Source organism: Homo sapiens, chromosome X (assembly GCF_000001405.40).
Source record: "Homo sapiens chromosome X, GRCh38.p14 Primary Assembly".
In the NCBI taxonomy this organism is placed as follows: Eukaryota; Metazoa; Chordata; class Mammalia; order Primates; family Hominidae; genus Homo; species Homo sapiens.
This window is the reverse complement of record NC_000023.11, coordinates 35,930,175-35,950,711: the sequence shown is the minus strand read 5'-3', so window position 1 is coordinate 35,950,711 and position 20,537 is coordinate 35,930,175. Positions and strand designations below refer to the sequence as shown.

Here is a 20,537-nt window from a genome sequence, read left to right as displayed (position 1 = left end):
ATTCCTTACAATCTAACGTACCTCAGTAAAACCCACTGCTGCCTGGGTGTGATCTCACACCTGTAATCCTAGCACTGTGGGCAGCCAAGGAGGGAGAATTGCTTGAGTCCAGGAGTTCAAGACGAGCCTAGGCCACACAGTGAGACCCTATCTCTACAACAACAACAACAAAAATTTAAATAGCCAGGGATGGTGACACACACCTTAAGGTCCAGCTACTCTGGAGGCTGAGGTAGGGGAATTGCTGGAGCATGGGAGGTCATGGCTGCAGTAAGCCGTGATTGCACCACTGCATTCCAGTCAAGGTGACAGGAAGAGACCCCATCTCAAAACCAAAACGAAACAAAAATCCCACTTCTTTGCTGAAATAAACATTTCCCCATTAACTTCACTTCTCAAATGAATTTCAATTCTCTTTGGGAACTGCTCTTTCATTTTATTCCACTCTGGCATAAATGCAATCTTTCAATTTAGGCCCATCAGATACCACAGATAACTGACTACTCCACAACTATCACCTAACCCTTATCTTACACTATATCCTATAACATTGGGCATTGAATTGCTCCTCCCTTAGCTTCCTTGACACCATAATTTCAAGGTTTTCTTTTAACTCACTCAGGCCCCACCTTCTCACTCTTCTAAGACTGGGACCTTTTTTAAACTTGATAAATAGTTAACATGAATAGTAGTGTTTTTTCTCTTACTGTTTCTCATTCTACTCTCCTTCTCAAAGTTATTCTCAACACTTCTGTTTCTTCTACCACTTATACACTGATGATCTTCAACCCTATACAGGCTGAGTATTCCTAATATGAAATCCATAATGCTCCAAAATCCCAAACTTTTTGAATGCTGATATAAAACTCAAAGGCAATGCTTATTAGAGCATGTCGGATTTCAGATTTTTAGATTAGGGTTACTAAACTAGTAAGTATAATGCAAATATTCCAAAATCCAAACAAAATTGAAATCTAAAACACTTCTGATCTCAAGTATTTTGAGTAAGGAACATTCAACTTGTACATCTAAATCAAATTTCTTTCTGGGACTCAAGATAATTTAATAAGCTGCAGCCAGCTCCACCAGGAATCTGAAAAGTAAAACCATTCCAACATATCAAAACTGAATTTAAGATCCTCTCCCATAACCCTGTTCCACCTTTTATCTTCCTTTGCTACAATCAGTCACCAAATCTAGTCAAATCTACTTCTACAACCTATCTCCAATTTGCACACTTCTATCAGTCTTCTCAGTTGACCTTATCTCAGACCTTTATCATTTTCCTCTTGCTTTACTGTAATTTCTAGTCAAGATTCTCACTCCACATTTGTACTCCCTGGTCTGTTTTGCACACTGCCACTAGGAGGACCTTTCTAAAATACAAACTAATCATGACACTCTCATCCTAAAACCCTCCTAAGACTTCATAGCCTTCACAATAAAACCCAAGCTCCTATCAGGGTTCACACCTGTTTATCACATATTTATGGCTGTGACCTTCAGTAAAAAAAGTATTTTATATTCCAGTGCCGGAACACACACACACACACACACACACACACACACACTCCACAGATGCATTCTGATATTTTTAAGTCGTTTGTTAAAAATACTGGTGATGGCTCATTATATTGACTGCACATTCTAGCAATGAATTAAGACATACCGCACAAAAATGTTGGACTACAAAGCCCTTCAAACTAGACATTCCATTTGGTTTTTCTGGTCTTGTCTCCTGTCACTCCCCACCTCCATCTTTTTAATTCTACATTGCCAAAGATGCCTTGGTGTGCAACACTGTCTTTTTGCCTCTAGGATTTCCAGTATGTTACTTGCTCTGCCTGAAATCCCTCCTCTATGCTACTCCCATCACTAACTCCCACCACCCCTACACACACACACACACACGCACACACACACACCCCAAATCACATCACTGCTCTTTGCCTGGCTAATTACTACTCACCAGTAAGTATTTGATTCAACTATCACCTTGTTAGTGGAGCCCTTCCCTGGTCCACTCTCTCACCTCAATGAAATTCAAAATAGAAGATCCTGTTATGTGTACCCATATGCTATCCTCTAGTTCTTCCCATTTCTTAAAAACCTACTGCTTGGCAAATAGTAGAGACTCAATGAACAACGCTGAATGGAAGAACAAAGGAGCTAACATACAATCAAAGTCACATCTGCAGGGTTAAACGGGAAAGCATTGAGATCTGTATTATAATTTTTAGAACCACAGTATATACTCACATTGCCTCTTCATCTACAATTCTTGGCTGGTCTGCACAGAAATCTACTTTAATAACCATTGATGACTTAGCATCCACGATACCACTAGTTGGAAAAATGAGGATGGGTAATTGGCCGTGGTATTCTGCCTTAAATATGCCTATAGGGAATAAGAGCAGTTGATTTACATCTGGACCCTTACAATGTTGCATGTACACTCTCAGTAGGGGACCAACATACTTTACCCAGTAGACCAAGCTTGCCTAACCCATGGCCCATGGGCCACATGCAGCCCAGGACGGCTTTGAATGCAGCCCAACACAAATTCATAAACTTTCTTACAACATTATGAGATTTTTTGAGACATTTTAAGCTCATCAACTATCATTAGTGTTAGTGTATTTGATGTGTGGCCCAAAACAATTCTTCTTCTTCCAACGTAGCTCAGGGAAGCCAAAAGATTGAATACCCCTGGAGCAGATGGTCTACAGTGTACCAAGAATTAAAGCTTTAATTGTAAGTCCAATATCTGAGGTCACCCAACAAATATGATCCTGTTGTTAGAATTCAAGTCTCACCAATAGTTAAAATTATCTGCTTACTACGTTCAGACACTTATGTTAAGAGCTCTGCATAGGTTATTTAATTTCCGTAAATAATCTATGATATAATATTTTCAATCATTACCTCCATTTTACAAGTAACAAAATAGAAGTTTTGAAATGATGAATGACTTGTTCAAGGTCACACAACTACTGTGGTAGATTAGCTTGCTGACCACAATTCTTCACCTTTTTCCACATTCGTATCTTTACCCTATTGTTCCAGAGTTTCTCACTGCAGGTCTGTGGGTCAGCTGGGTGACTCTGCTCCACATTTGCTCATTCTAGGGCATGGGCCAAAAGGACAGCAATTACACAGGATAAAACACTTCCCACCTCCCATGGTAGAAGTGCATCTAGGTTGGAACTGGCATGCTATCAATTACACCCACATGTTATTAGCCAAAGCAAATCACATGATCAAGCCCCTTGACTTTGGGAAGTGTTTCTCCTGAGTAACTGCTGTCCTTTTGGCCCATGCCCTAGAATGAGCAAATGTGGAGCAGAGCCACCCAGCTGACCCACAGACCTGCAGTGAGAAACAGAACAGGCCCAGCTGCTTCAGCTTGAAGCAGAGCACCCAGATGAGCCCAGCCTAGATCAGTCAAGTTCCAGCCAATCTGCATACACATAACCACATGACCAATTAAAAAATAACTGCTGTTTGAAGATATTTTAGGGTGGTTTGTTATATAGCAATAACTACTACAGTTAGTAACTAACTAATGAAGATGAGATTTTCACTTGGATATTTCTGACCACAGGTTCATACTTATAGTTATTACCATTCCCTAGGAGATGAATTTATCCAGTTCACACAGGATAAGGGCAAAGGGGATTGGTTTCTGAAATCAAATGGCATATGAGAAGGAGGGTACAAAGATTCTTATTCTGAAAGCAGAAATGGTTCATAATTTATGGTAATGTTTTGTGCCTATATTACAGCATGTGGTCCTTGAAATCAGATACAATCTCTTTCTCATGTCTGTGGTCACAGCACCCCACACACTGCTTAGCACTAAGCAGTACTTAAAGTATGGCCAACAAATAGAAGCAGCCAATCACTAGTCCCTTTATTATCATTATAACACAAATGAGCATGGTGCTAAAATAAACAGTTTGGCAAATTCTGAAATCACCAGTCTTAAATCACATCTGATGATATTTTCCAAATGTATTCATTTAATTTAGGAAAACAAAATGTTAGCACAATAAAAGTAATGAAAATATTAAAAAGACAATATTTGAAAATGCAAAGTAACAAAATTGGTCACTTCAATCATTTCATAGATGTGCTAACAGCATAATATTTGAAGTTAATTTTATATCATAAATCAAAAATATATAAAATTATATCCATTTCAAATAAATAGGTATTATTGACTCCATTCTGTAAGAAAAAAAGGTATATAAATTTAGTTAGGACTGAGTCAGTGAAAAAGTTTCCCATATTGTAACTACTTAGACATAATTTGACAAAAGAGTTTAAGTGAATATTTCAAAAACTTATTCAGAAGCAACACAAAATACAAAAGAATATTGTTTAATTTTCTAAATATGTTTAAATTGCAGGTATGTCAACATTACTATGTCTTATTTAACTTTAATACAAAAACCATTTGTTTGGCTTTTTAAATTGCTAACAACAGAAGCAAGAATATCATCCTAAGAGAAGAGAGTTATTGAAAAAAAGAATGTTGGCCAGGTGCGGTGGCTCATGCTTGCGATCCCAGCAATTTGGAAGACGGAGGTGGGAGGATCACTTGAGGTCAGGAGTTCGAGACCAGCCTGGTCAACATAGTGAAACCCCATCTCTACTGAAAATACAAAAATTAGCTGGGCATGGTGGCGCACACCTGTAATCCCAGCTACTGGGGAGGCTGAAGCAGGAAAATCGGTTGAGCCTGGGAGGCGGAGGTTGCAGTGAGCCAAGAGCACGCCGCTGCACTCCAGCCTGGGTGACACAGTGAGACTCTGTCTCAAAAAAAAAAAAAAAAAAAGAGAAGGAGAAGAAGAAGAAAAAAGAATGTTAAAAATGGAATATTTGTGATCAAATTTTCATTTCTTCTCAGATATGGCACTGGCTAATGTGTGGGAAATAAACTAAAAGGAAGTAACGTCAGGAAAATAATTTAGGTTAATGTAGTTATTCAGCAGGGGAAGATAATGGCTTTTTGTAAAAAAAGTGGCATTGGGCAGAGAAAAGTAGTATTACTGGCTTAATTATGAAGTGAACAGATAAGATTTACTAATTGACTAAGGGGGTAGGAAGTGAAAAAGAGAGAGGTGTTGAAAATTTTGCCAAGTTTTGGAACTCTCCAAATACATAGTGGTAACATTAATTGACAAAGAAAAAAGAAGTATTGGGGGAAGCTGTTAAGTTTGAGAAAACTGAAGGATACCCAAAGGATTGTATAGATCTAGGAGTAGTCAGTGAAGTAAAAGGAAGGGAAGTGATGGTCCAAGGAGAGTACCTTGACTGAAGAAACATAAGAGTCTGTGGCAAACCTTAGGAAACATTCACATTTAATATACCACAAAAAGAAACACCAGTCTAGGAAAGAGAACTGAAGAGGGCAGAGGTGGTAGAAAAATAATAATTATAACATAAATAGCTAACATTTACTGAAAAGTTATATATGCCAGAGAGTGTGCTAAGCATTTTATTAATCATCACCACCATTAGAGGAGGAAGGTACTATCTTTATCTCTAATGTGTAAGTCAGACAATGGATGTTTTGGAAGTGCAAATTCCTTACCCAGGGCCTCCCAGATAGTAAATGATGCAACTAAGATTTGGGCCCTATTCAACCACACTTCAGGACCTGAGTTATTAATTAGCATTCTATATAAGAGAGTGAGTTGTCACAGAAGCCAAAGGGCTTTGAATTGTTTTTGTTTTGTTTTCCCAAGAAAGTGGCAGTGGCTAACTATGTCAACTTTTGCCAATAAGCCATGTAAAACAGACCTATAGACTTGCCCACTGATAAGAGTTAGTGGGGGCACATAAAACATAAGGGTACCCACAGCTACAGCTGCGATGAGGGGTCCCTCACACAAATCTGTGTGATTTTTGAATCTGGATTCTTCTATCTTCTCTAGAGAAGCAAATTAGACACTAAGTGGTGCAGTATACATGGTTACACTGTCTATACTCCTTGAAAAAATTTTTAGGAACTGCTAAGCAGATTTTTGCCTCAGAGTATCTGTAAGATCAAGCCAGGGTAACCAGATTCTGTAGTTCTATAGAATGTTATTAAAAATCAGTTGTCATGTACCCCAGGCTATTGCTATTTCTTATGATTTTTTAAAATTCCCTTGGTTCTAAGCACACTAAATATGTATGAGGCTCCACATGTTTCCAAATGACTAATTTTTAGAGATTCTTCAGAATGCTCATATGGATTTAACAGGTTCCTTCTGGGTTTAATCATCTTTCATTAAAAGCTTCATAGTTCTTTAGTGAAACTCCAAGAAATCACTAAACCAAATAAATTATGATTATGTCAAAATATATAATCCTATAAATTAGGGTTATGTTATGCATGAAGAATATATGGAGATGCCATGGCATCAGTTTCCAAAAAAAAATTGAAGACAAGAATTATGCACTGAGAATAAGTAGGGGGTGCTTTTGTGAGTTACTAAGGAAGATCCCCAGGACCACTTCTGGGTTTGGTACAGTTTGACAAATTTCCTGGTTTACAGTTGATTCCAGGATATTTTAGACAATGAAGTAGAGAAATGATGCTGCTGATTAGGGGAAAAGGCAGAGTGGGCCTTAAGAGCAAATGAAAGGTCATATATTTTGGACAAAGTAGACCAAATAAACCTAAAGGATGATAAGTTCTGAGGCAGATGTTCAAACTCAGAAATGATATGTAAGGCTCTCACTTAGGAATTTGAGAAACTGTTCTATGTTATAATACTGTAGTAGAAAAAGTCTACTCAACATTCTCCATGATGTACTTATTTCACATTGGATGCCCGTATCAAAACATCTCATGTACTCCATAAATATATACACCTACCATGTGCCCACAAAAATTTTAAAAAATAATAAATAAATAAGTATGCTCACATTAAGGAAGAAATGATTTTAATTCAAGGCATGCTAAATTAATAATTTCTTTTTCTAATCTTCAGTGATAAAAGCTGAGAAACAATAGTGGTATTATCAAGCCATAAAATCATAAAAGTAAATATGGAATTTATTAACCTACAAAGTACTAACATTAGAGACACCATAAAGAATGGACCATGTCTTCAGAAAGAAAAGATGAGCACTGCTTTGTACAGTCAGGGGTAAATTTGGGAACCATTTCTATAAAGGATGAGGAAACAAAAGTTATTCAACAACATATGGCTAGATCCATGGATGTTTACTCCATAAGAGACTATTAAAATAAATCATCAAGGAGTTGTTACACACATAAACTTTGGGGGTCTATAAAAACAAAGGTTATAACTGCAGTGATACTACCAGAGAGAGAAAACAAAGATGTGGAAATGTTAAATCTGCCAAGTGTTGAGTTTTAAATATCCTATTAAGTATACATACAAATTTGTAAGCATTTGAACTTTGACTCTAAACCTACAAAAAATTCACCATATAAAATGTTTTTTAAAAATGTTATTAAAATCAACTTTGATGGCTGAATCTATTTTCAGAATGTTTTTCTTCATGAATATACATTGCTATTATCATGAACACGTATATATTTTGCTTGTAGATGATAAGGACTTTATGACACTTTATAGGCACTAGCTAATCTGAATGTAATATACAGTATCAATTTTGATAATAGTAGAAACAATAATCTGATTTGATTCCAAGCATGTGGGATAAAGTCAACACTAAGAAAATGTAATTCATTGATCACAATTTGTTTCAGTTTGTAAGGTAATAGCCATTAACATTTCACAGTACTCAAGTATAATAAACCCAACCAAGGTATTACAAATACTATATACAAATAAAATACTAACATAATCCTAATAGCCAATGCGCAGTATTTTTCCTAAAACATTATGTATTCTGGTCTGCAGCTTAATTGTACTTATTCTAATTTATTGAGTAAAATTATATTAAATGTTCAATGAAAAGTAAAACCATATTCCTTTTTTACTTACAGAGAGTTTTCATATGAAATGAAACTGTAAAATTTGGTGAGATTTTAGAACAAGAAGGGAATATATTATTGCTATCAAAACATTGAAGGTTATTGAATATACAACAGTTAAAAGAAATTCTGGAAAGTAAAATAATACAAATAAAAATACCTTAATTAAATATCAGTGCTCTAAAATATAACTAGAGAGTCTAAAGGATCATATTGCCCATATCACTTGCTGTAAGAGACTTCCTCCTTAACACTCGAGTCAGGCCACAAACGAGCCTAATTCTATAATCCCACAGGCATCAGACATGCACTCATTTAAAAACCAAAGCATAGAAAGTGAGATGAGTAACATCCAATGTGGAACGGTTATGAGTTTTATTCCTTTGTATCCTAAGAAGAAATCAGTAAACTGACAGACTGCCTTTGTCTTCATAATTCCCAATGCTCAATCAGGTGGCCCCAGAGAACACTCTCAGTTAGTGGAATAGAAGCTTGGATTTAAGACCTACTTTATATATTCAACAAACAGTCTCAGATAGAAATACCCTCCCTGTCTGGAGCTAGTCCTCATTTTAGATTGGGAGAAATGGCAATCTTGCAACCCCACATGCCATTGAATCAGGACACTGAAGGGATAAGCAATCCTATGCTTATTGTATGCTATCAATTTAAAGTGTATATGAATATACACACACAGACACACACACACACACACACACAGACACACACACACATCCTTATGTAAACTCTTAGGCCACAGTAAGAATCCCTGGAAATAATTAAATCTGGAAAAGAGAGAAGTATTTATTCCTTCAAAAAAGAATTAGTAAAAGCCTTCTGGGGAGTTTGACATTAAATTAAAGTTGAATATGATTGAGAAAGAAGACAAATATTTATTAAGCATCTATGATGAGCCAAGTAACATACCACAGTTTAAAGTATGTACATAATTCATCATCATACATTTTATCAGCACCCGTTTATAAATGAGGAATCTCAAGTTCAAAATCCTTAAAAATACTTGCCCCAGATCACACAACTAATAAGGCGCTGTGCTCTAATTCTGTCTCTGAACTATGTAACTTCTCTGACACTATCCTGCCTCCTATCCTGAGGGATTTCACCATTTTCTGACTGTATTAATCAGGATCATAAGGAGGAAGGTTCATTTTTCTTGAATTGTTGCCTATCAGTCTTTTACAGTAATACTATTAAGGACCTTTGGTTTTGAGCTATTTGAAATGATAGACCTTTTTTCAGTTAAATTAGGTAATCTATTACACAAGGTATACATTTCAAATAATACCAACTCTTCTAAAAGTGTAAGTAAATATGACAGGAAGGATTTACCTGGAGCTTTGCCATGGTTAGTGATAGTAATCTCTTTAGAATATACTTTACTATTGGCAACCAGTGTGCCAAAATTAACTACTGATTCAATTTCCAATTGACAGGATGGAATCAACCTAGGGAGGAGAAAAGAAGGCCACATAATTAATTTAACAATCATAAGAGCCTGATAGCTAAATATGTAGGGGAATATAGATGGACACTTAAGCCCTTAAAAGACATTTCAGTTTATTTACAGGTCTACTGGTGGCATGTTTGTCAATAAAAGGAATTATGAAATAAAGATATGAAAACAAGGTAATGGGTTACATTTTTAACAAAGAAATGAGACTTTATGCATCTAAGTGCATGGTATGTCATCCCAAATAAATAGTTTGAATGTCTCCAAATCTTATGAAATAAAAGAATGCAGTGATGCTGTAACATATCATTTAGGGTCTAAAACAAGATGTAAGTACAAGATGTAAGTACTTACAAAATGTAAGTACAATTTATTTTCCATATGTATTTCTAAAAAATTCACTGTAGCATATTTGTAGCATGTGTTCCTACAAGTTTGTAAAAATCCATTATCATCTTATATACAAACCATATAAGGTTACATACATTTTCTATTTGGCTAGACATTCATGGTTAAAAAGTACCCCTAAGTATATTATCATACTTTGGATATAGGAAAAGGTCTTAAGAATAATTTCTTAGGAATCTCCACACTTCGCACAGAGAGAGAGAGCGGGGGAGAGAGAAAAAGAGAGACAGAGTCTACTTCAGTGTTAAGATTTTGGTAATATATAATGATTTCTCTGCATCTCCTGTTAGTTTCTCTTCCTCTTGTAAAAAAATCTTGAAATCTTGTTTTGGCTTCATACACACCACAGCATATAAAGACAGTTGACCTCTGAGGACAACAGAGTATCTAGTCAGCTATCAGAGGAAGTGCCTATCTAAGGACAATAGTTAAACGTTAGACCTAAAACCATAAAAACCCTAGAAGAAAACCTAGGCATTACCATTCAGGACATAGGCATGGGCAAGGACTTCATGTCTAAAACACCAAAAGCAATGGCAACAAAAGCCAAAATTGACAAATGGGATCTAATTAAACTCAAGAGCTTCTGCACAGCAGAAGAAACTACCATCAGAGTGAACAGGCAACCTACAAAATGGGAGAAAATTTTTGCAACCTACTCAGCTGACAAAGGGCTAATATCCAGAATCTACAATGAACTCAAACAAAGTTACAAGAAAAAAACAAACAACCCCATCAAAAAGTGGGTGAAGGACATGAACAGACACTTCTCAAAAGAAGACATTTATGCAGCCAAAAAACACATGAAAAAATGCTCACCATCACTGGCAATCAGAGAAATGCAAATCAAAACCACAATGAGATACCATCTCACACCAGTTAGAATGGCGATCATGAAAAAGTCAGGAAACAACAGGTGCTGGAGAGGACGTGGAGAAATAGGAACACTTTTACACTGTTGGTGGGACTGTAAACTAGTTCAACCCTTGTGGAAGTCAGTGTGGTGATTCCTCAGGGATCTAGAACTAGAAATACCATTTGACCCAGCCATCCCATTACTGGGTATATACCCAAAGGACTATAAATCATGCTGCTATAAAGACACATGCACACGTATGTTTACTGCGGCACTATTCACAATAGCAAAGACTTGGAACCAACCCAAATGTCCAACAATGATAGACTGGATTAAGAAAATGTGGCACATATACACCATGGAATACTATGCAGCCATAAAAAATGATGAGTTCATGTCCTTTGTAGGGACATGGATGAAATTGGAAATCATCATTCTCAGTAAACTATCGCAAGAACAAAAAACCAAACACCGCATATTCTCACTCATATGTGGGAATTGAACAATGAGAACACATGGACACAGGAAGGGGAGCATCACACTCTGGGGACTGTTGTGGGGTGGGGGGAGGGGGGAGGGATAGCATTGGGAGATATACCTAATGCTAGATGACGAGTTAATGGGTGCAGCACACCAGCATGGCACATGTATACATATGTAACTAACCTGCACATTGTGCACATGTACCCTTAAACTTAAAGTATAATAATAATAAAATTAAATTAAATTTAAAAAAAATAAGGACAATAGTATAAGGAATCTCTAGAAAAGAAGAGAATGACAAACACAACAAGGCTAAGTACAAGTGGTCATTAAACTCAGGGATGCCCTAATAGGTAAACAATACCTTCCAATGGTATAAAGGCATCTTCTCATTTTACTATCTCATTCGGTATATTTGCTGATACAAATAGAACAAAGAGGTCTATGCATATTTTGTTTTCTCAGCCCATTTTTCACAATTCCTCTCCCATTTATTTATACAAAAGGAGAAATAGATGTCATCTTTTCTTAGTTTAATGGTGATGCATTGCTTTGGAGTGGAAACATCTCTGGGACACCAAACTAAGGGACAATTGAAAATATTGGTGTTGATATTGATAAAGTGAGTGACCAAAATTACTAGGTAACAAATCCATTTACATAAATGTGTTTATCCAGTTTTCTTTCATCAACATTAAAAGAGGGGAATACAACTGACGTAGCTGACACATTGTTAAAAATAACACTTGATAAACAACTGCTGTAATTTTACCCTATAACTTTACGGAGTTGAAAAAATTGAGAGATATTACTACAATAAAATCCTTTCATTCCAATCTACTCATTATGGAGACAACTTCTCTCAGCATCCATATCAAAAAATTTTAAATAGGGATAAAATGCATGTGGGATTCACATAAGCAATAAGTATCTATCATCCATAAACATGCTAACTAAATAAAAGTTTAAAATGCTCCATTCATCTGATTATAAATATTTCCAGTAATACTTTGCTTTTCTGTTAAAAAAAAACTCGTCAAACTTAGTTTGATATATGGAGTTTAAATCAATTTGTATTAATAATATCATTTATAAGAATTATTAAAAATATGCATGGATTTATGACTATAGCAAGTATATTTAAACATATAGCTGTTTATTTGATGCACACATATAGGTTCATATGTACATATACCTATATAGACATAAACTATAGACAAATTACCTATGCACTTTATTCCTGGTGATCATGAAAAAAACTTCTAAGCATAAAAATGTAATACATTAGGATGTGATGCTGTGGTGAAAAATGGAATGGAGCTACAAATTTAAGAGGAAAAGAAAAGAGGTAATTTTTTCACCTGCTAACATATTATTGATATTTTCATTCTACTGGATACATTTTAAAAAGGCATATAAGTATTTTATTTTTAAATCGTAACACTCACTATATATAAGCCATTACCTCTTTACAAGTGTTCAAACTAATGATGAAAATCGTAGATATTTTTAAATATAAAAGAAGGTCATAGTTTTGGGAGACACATAAAAAAAAGCTCTGAAAATCACTAATTATATCATCTACCAACTAGGGCACTTTGGAAGTCCAGGTTGATGTACGAAAATGTAGAAATCAATCATGTAGTTTCTGTTTTCTTTCTTCTTTTTTCAGGGTTCACTCCATAACAAATAGAAGGTTCATTACATGTCTGATCCATATACAGAAACTCTGAAGTAAAAATAAATGTGCTCACTCCAACAGTTTTTTTTAATCACATTCCAGTCATGCCATTAGGGAGTAGTTCAGATCCAGTTGGACTAACTTTATTCACAAAACATTCACTGAGTATATACAATTTAGATTATAGAAAAAAATAAAACTCCCCTGGACCTCAAGAATTTTACAATCTAATGGAGAGAAACAAACAAATACAAACTTCTGGTCCAGAAAAAAATAGCATAAGCCTATTTTTTCCTGTTCCTTCTACTAAACACAACTATAAACCCTGAAAATGGTACACGAGGCAAGCAAAAGAGAATGATGAAAGGTGGTGAAAAGGAGAACTGGCTGATTTAGAACTCTGGGACTGGAGGAACAATAGCAGCAGGGTGTCTCACAATCCCCCAACCAACAGAGAAAGGCCACGCAGACCCAGTATTCTTTGCCCGCTGACCTAGTTAGAATCATTCTTTTTCTGGATCAAACAGGAGCCCCCCTGAACACACCAGGTGAGCCAGACAATGCCAGCCTGGGGATCAATTAAGAGGTATACCAATCATAAGTGACAAGGGGAAGCACTCTCCTTCTACTCCAGGCCTGAGATCCTGCAGAAGAGGAGTTCTCTTTCTCAGGAGTTTTCTGTCCAAAGACACCAAGGTAGTTTTGAGGAAACCAGGAAAAAAAAAAAAAAAAAAAAAAAAAAAAACAGCAATTGCAAGCAGCTATATCTGAAAAGCCTCTTTGTCACTGCTGGCTCAAACCTCTCCTTTTTCACTCAGGGACACTGGAAAGGTAAGCGGGACTTGCAAGAGATCTAGATACAGCAACTGGCCCAGTACAACAAACTTCTTTGCCCCATAAGTCAGATTTTTCTATCTGCTCAGAAGACCTGGGCAGCCAAGGGGGTACTTGTATAGCGTTCTCACCACATTTCTCCTCTATCAAGAGACATGTGGCAGCCAGGCCTGGGAAAAAAAAATGCCTCCACTCCTTCAGGAAGCACCAGCAGAAGACAGTGGGAGCAGTAGTGATAACATATAAATAAAATGGATCAAAATAATACCTCAAACATACTGAAAACTAAATTGTCATCACAACCACAGCATACAAAATAGGCTAAGAAAAACATGCTGAACATAAATGGGGTGTGTGCCTGTTAAAATAACAGATTTAAATAAGACCCAGAGTCTCCTAACATAACAGAAAAAAAAATTTAGCATTCAATCAAAAATCACCTGTCATATCAGGAACCAAAAAAATAACGATTTTGATGAGAGCAGACAATCAACAGATGTCAACCAAGATGAACCTCAGGTTGAAATTATCTAGCAAGGATTTTAAAGCAACTGCCAAAAAAAAAAAAAAAATGCTGCAACAAGCAATTTCAAGTTTTTTTGAAACTAATGAATAAATAGAAAATCTCAGCAAATAAATACAAGTTATAAAAAAGAATCAAATAGAAATTATAGAATTGAATAATACAACAACCAAACTAAAAACATAGTGATGAACACAATACCAGGATGGAGATAACAGAAGATAAAATGAGTGAAATGGAAGCTCGATTAATAGAATTCACCCAGACTTGACAAAGACTGAGAGAGAAAGAGAAAAAAATGAGCAAAGTCTCAGAGGCCTGTGGGACAATAACAAATGATCCAATATTTGCATCATTAAAGTCTCAGAAGAACAGAAGAAAGAGAATGGGGCTGAAATAATAGTTAAATGCAAATAATGGCTAAAACTTCCAAAACTTGGCAACAGACACTGACATACAAATTCAAAAAAGCTGAGTGAACCCAAACCTGATAAACTCAAAGAAAATCATGTAAAGGCATATCATAATTGAACTTTTGAAAACAAAAGATAAAAACAAAAATCATGAAATCAGCCAGAGAGAAAGAATGTGTTCCATATAGAGAAACACCAAATTAAATGAATGCACGTATCACATCTGACTCCATGGAGTCCGGAAGGAAGTGTCACAATATTTTTCTAGTACTGAAAGAAAAAGAAAACTGTCAACTGAAAACTCGATTTCTGTTAAAACTACGTTTGATAATGAAGGGGAAATACAGACATTAGACAAAGAAAAACTAAAAGAACTTGTCACTAGCAAACACACACTTAAAGATCACCTAAAAAAATTCTTCAAGTGGGCAGAGGAAGAAGGCTCCACCTATCATCCCTCCTACAAGGACACCAATTTAACAACTATCTATATAAAAAAAAAAAAAAAAGCAACTTCGTAAAAACCAAAAATCAGGTGAGCACTCACAGTACCTGGTTTTAACTTCATATCACTGAAAGAGGCATTCAAGAGTGTAGGAAACACAGTTTTGAATCACCTCTGTCAACCCTCCCCAACCCCCAGCAGTGGCAGCATGGCATGGAGAGAGAATCTGTGCATTTGAGGGAGGAAGATCACAGCAATTGTGAGTCACTGCATTGAACTCACTGCTGCCCTGTCACAGCAGAAAGTAAAACAGGGGAACTAAGCTGATGCCTGCCCATGGGGGGAACATTTAAACCAGCACTAGCCAGAGAGGAATCACCTATCCCAGTGGTCACGACTTGAGTTCTAGCAAGCCTTGCCACCATGAGCTAACATGCTCTGGGACCATAGATTAACTTGAAAGGCAGTCTAGGCCACAAGGACTGCAACTTCTAGATGAGTTCTAGTGTTAAACTGGGGTCAAAGTCAGTGGACATGGGGAGACACACAACCTACTAAGACACCAGCTGGTGTGGCTAGGGGAGTGCTTGTGCCAACCCTTTCCCCAACTCCAGGCTGCATAGCTCATGGCTCCAAAAGAGACCCCTTCCTTCTACTTGAGGAGAGAAGAGGCAAGAATAAATAGGACTTTGTCTTGAATCTTGTATACCAGCTTAGCCACAGTAGGATAGAGCACCAGTCAGAGGTGTGAGGCCACCTTTCCAGGCCCTAGCTCACACATAACATTTCTAGACACACCCTGGGCCAGAAGGAAACCTATTGCCTTGAAGGGAAGGATCCAATCCTGGCAAGATTCATCACCTGCTGACTAAAGAGCCCTTGGGCCCTGAGTAACCTGCAGTGATACCTAAGTAGTGTGCCATGGGCCTTGGGTGACACTTGGAAACTTGCTGGCTTCAGGTGAGATTCAACACATTCCCAGCTGTGGTGGCTACAGGGCAAGACTCCTTCCACCTGACATAAGTGGAGGGAAAAGTAAAAGGGTTGTATCTAGTACCTTAGGTATCAGCTTGGCCACAGAGGTATAGAACACCAAGCAGGCCTTTGGGGACCCGGATTCCAGGCCTTAACTCTTGGATGGCATTTCTGGACCTGCCCTGGGCCACAAGGGAGTTTACTGACCTGAAGGATGAGTCCCAGGCCAAACAACATTCACCACAAGCTGACTAAAGAGACCTTGGGCCTTAAGAGAACATCAGTAGTAAGCTTGGCAGTACTCCCTGTGGGCCAGTGGTGGTGGCGGCCATAGGGTGAGGCGCCTCTGCCTCTGGAAAGGGAAGGAAAGACTGGGAAGAACATTGTCTTGTGGTTTGAGTACCAGCTCAGCCACAGTACAATAGGTAGACTTCTAAGGTACTTTACCCCAGTCCCTTGTTCCTGGATGGTACCCCCTGGACCCACCCAGAAAACTCTTCAGAACATTAGACTGAGCATAGATTTCTTGAGTAGCACCCCACAAGCACAGGCAACCAAAGCAAAAATTGGCAAACAGGATCACATCAAGTAAAAAAGCTTGTGCACAGCAAAGAAAACAATCAACAAAGTGAAGAGACAACCCACAGTATGGGAAAAATATTTGCAAACTACACATCTGTCAAAGGATTAATAACCAGAATATATAAGGACCTCAAACAACTCTCTAGGAAAAAATCAATAGTTAAATTTAAAAATGGGCAAAAAATTTGAATAGACATTTCTCAAAAGAAGACATACAAATGGCAAATAGTCACATGAAAAAATGCTCAACATCACTGATCATCAGGGAAATGCAAATCAAAACTACAATGAGATATCATCTCACCCCAATTAAAATGTCTTTTATCCAAAGGTTAGGAAGTAACAAATGCTAGCAAGGATGTGGAGAAAAGGTAACCCTCATACACTGTTGGTAGGAATGTAAATTAGTACAACCACAAAGCAAAGGAGAACAGTTTGGAGGCTCCTCAAAAAACTATAAATAAAGCCACCATTAAGATCCAGCAATTCCACTGCTCAGTATATACCCAAAGAAAATAAATCAGTGTATTGAAGGGATATCTGCACTCTCGTGTTTATTGTAGCACTGTTCACAGTAGCCAAGAATTGGAAGCAACCCAAGTGTCCATCAACAGATGAACTGATAAAGAAAATGTGCTACATATACACGATGAAGTACTATTTAGCCATAAAAAATGAGATCCAGTCATTTACACATAGATGTAACTGGAGGTCATTATGTTAAGTGAAATAAGCCAGGCATAGAAAGACAAGCATTCTATTTCTCACTTATTTGTGTGATCTAAAAATTAAAGCAATTGAACTCATGAAGATAGAGAGTAGATGGATGGTTACCAGAGGCTAGGAAGGGTAATTGGGGGTGGGGAAGAAGGGGGAGGGTTAATGCGTGTAAAAATATAATTAGAAAGAATAAATAATAAGACCTAGTATTTACTATCACAACAAGATGACCACAGTAAAAAATAATTTAATTGTACATTTTAAAATAACTAAAAGACTGTAACTGAATTATTTGTAACACAGGGATAAATGCTTGAGGTGATGGATACCTCATTTATCTTGATGTGATTATTAGTCATTGCATGCCTGTATCAAAATATCTCATGTGAACCTTAAATATATACACATACTATGCACCCATAAAAATTAAATATGGCCAGGCATGGCAGCTCACACCTGAATGCCAGCACTTTGGGAGGTCAAAGCGGGCAGATCACAAGGTCAAGAGACCGAGACCATCCTGGCCAACCTGGTGAAACCTCATCTCTACTAAAAATACAAAAATTAGCTGGGCATGGTGGCACGTGCCTGTAATCCCAACTACTCAGGAGGTTGGGGCAGGAGAATCACTTGAACCCAGGAGGCAGAGGTTGCAGTGAGCTGAGATCACGCCACTGCACTCCAGCCTGACGACAGAGTGAGACTGCGTCTCAAAAAAAAAAAATTAAATATAATAAAGTTCTTCAGAAAGTCAGGAAATAATAAAAGAGAGAATCTTGGAGTATCAGAAAGAAAAAAATGGAGCAGGCTGAGCATGGTGGCTCACACCTGTAATCCCAGCATTTTGGGAGGCCAAGGTGGGAGGATTGCTTGAGCCCAAAAGTTTCAGACCAGCCTGCACAACATAGTGAAACCCCACCTCTACAAAAAATTAAAAGTGCGTGGTGGCGGGTGCTTGTAATCCCAGCTACTCAGGAGGCTGAGGCAGGAGAATCACTTGAACCTGGGAGGTGGAGGTTTCAGTGAGCCGAGATTGCGCCATTGCACTCCAGCCTGGGCAACAGAGAGAGACTCCATCTCAAAAAAAAAAAAAGAAAGAAAGAAAGAAAGAAAAGAAAAGAAAAAAAGAAAGAAAGAAAAAATTAGCCAGGCTTGGTGGTGCATGTTTGTAGTCCAAGCAACTTGGGGGGCTGAGGAGGGAGGATCATTAGAGCCCAGAAGGTTGAGGTTGCAGTGAGCCATGTTGACACCACTGAACTCCAACCTGGGCAACAGAGGAAGACCCTGCCTCAAAAAAGAGAAAGGAGGGAAGCAAGGAAGGAAGAAAGGAAAGGAGGGAGGGAGGGAGGGAGGAAGCCAAGAAGGAAGGAAAGGAGGGAGGGAGGGAGAGGGGGAGGAGCAATGGAAATAGCAAAGCACTAGCTACATACAATCAGCTATATTTTTCCTCATAAGTTTTATAAATTATATTTGATGATGAAAACAAGAATCATAACACCCTTAGATATTCAAGACAGTAATATTTAAAAGTAGGGAAAGAAAAAAAGACTCAAATGGAAATGAAGCTTCTACACTTCACTTAAAGTGACAAAATGTTTATGCCACTAGAATATTATATCATGTATGCATATTGAAGTATCCAGAAAAACCACTACAATAATTATGCAAAGAGATGCACACAAAACAGTATAAATAAATCAAGATGCAACCCTAAAATAACCTTCAATTAACCTACAGGAATGCAAAAATGAGAAACAGAAGTATGAGAAACAAAGAGAACAATGAGAAAACAAATAATAAACAAGCAGACAAATTATAGCATATACAAATTAACTTAAATATAAATAGCCTAGATACAACAATCCAAAGACAGAGGTCGAAATATGGGGAAGGGAACCATTGCCCAACTATATGCTGCTGCTTAGAAAAAACTCAGTTTAAATTCAAGGCCATAGTAGGGTGAAAGTAAACGAATAGGAAAAAACATAGTATTCAAATTTTACTTAGAAAAAAAAGTGCAAAAAGCTACATTAATATCTACTAGAGGCTTCAGTGCAAGAAAATCACCATGCACAAGGAGGGACATTATATATAATAAAAGGATCAATCTACCAGAAAGGAATAACGATCATAAATATGTCCATAATAAACCTGTGGAAATTAACACACTTCTAAATAATCCAGGAGTCAAAGAGAAACTTTAAAAAAAATTAAATACATAGAATTGAGTCAAAATAAAAATATATAAAAATTTGTAGGACACAGCTAAAGCAGTGCTGAGGGTCATTTATAACGTTACATATTTACATTAGAAATGAGAGATTTTCTCAAACTCATTATCTAATTTCCAATATCAAAAACTAGAACAAGAGCAATATTAATTCAAATCAAACAGAAGAAAAGAAATAATAGAGAGCAGCAATCAACGGAATTTAAAATAAAATGAAAGGAAAGTCAACGATAGAAAGCTGATTCTTTGGAAAAAATATAAAGTTGATAAACCACTAGCAATACTTTTAAAAAGGACAAAATACACACATGTTCAACATCAGAAATGAAAGAAAGGATATCACTACAGATGCAGCAGCTTATTATTTATTTAAAAATAATCAGAAAAAATTTCTAACAGCTCTAAAATCATAAATTTGACAACTTAGAGTTGGAAGAATTCCATGGAAATGAGAAACTACAGTAACAACATAATAATATAGGCAGTATGAATAGCCCTATAAGCATCAAAAAACTAAATTCATAATTTAAAACATTCTGAAAGAAAAATTTCCAGGCCAGACAGTTCCACTAGAGAATTCTACCATTTAAATAATTGCTATCAATATTAAATAAGCTCTTCTAGAATATAGAAGACGCAGCATTTCCAAATTCATTTTATGAGGCTGGCACTATCCTGATAGCTAAACCATACAATGACAATTAAAAAAAGCAAAGAAATCAATCAATCAATCAAACTATAAACCAATATCACTAATAAACTGGGACACAATAATCCCTAATAAAACATGAGCAAATCAAATTCCAGGATATATAAAAAGAATGATACATGATGACTAAAATGGATTTATTTCATGTATACAAGGGCAAGACTGATTCAACATTAAGAAATTAACCAATGTAATCCATCATATCACTAAGTTATGGAAAAAAAATATGATCATGTAAGTTGAC

The 20,537-nt window shown here is 36.7% G+C and overlaps 1 protein-coding gene across 4 annotated transcripts in view; it reads right to left on the bottom strand.

Moving 5' to 3' along the window:
* The window catches only part of CFAP47 (cilia and flagella associated protein 47), a 465,584-nt gene that overhangs the window by 434,606 nt on the left and 10,441 nt on the right, over positions 1-20,537 (bottom strand). For all 4 annotated transcript variants that reach the window (NM_001304548.2, XM_017029452.2, XM_017029453.2 and 1 more), the window contains exons 3-4: positions 9,314-9,429; positions 2,260-2,398 (exon numbers count right to left, since the gene is read on the bottom strand). In NM_001304548.2, the coding sequence (NP_001291477.1) occupies positions 2,260-2,398; positions 9,314-9,429 (255 nt within the window). The remainder of the gene's footprint in view (positions 1-2,259; positions 2,399-9,313; positions 9,430-20,537) is intronic.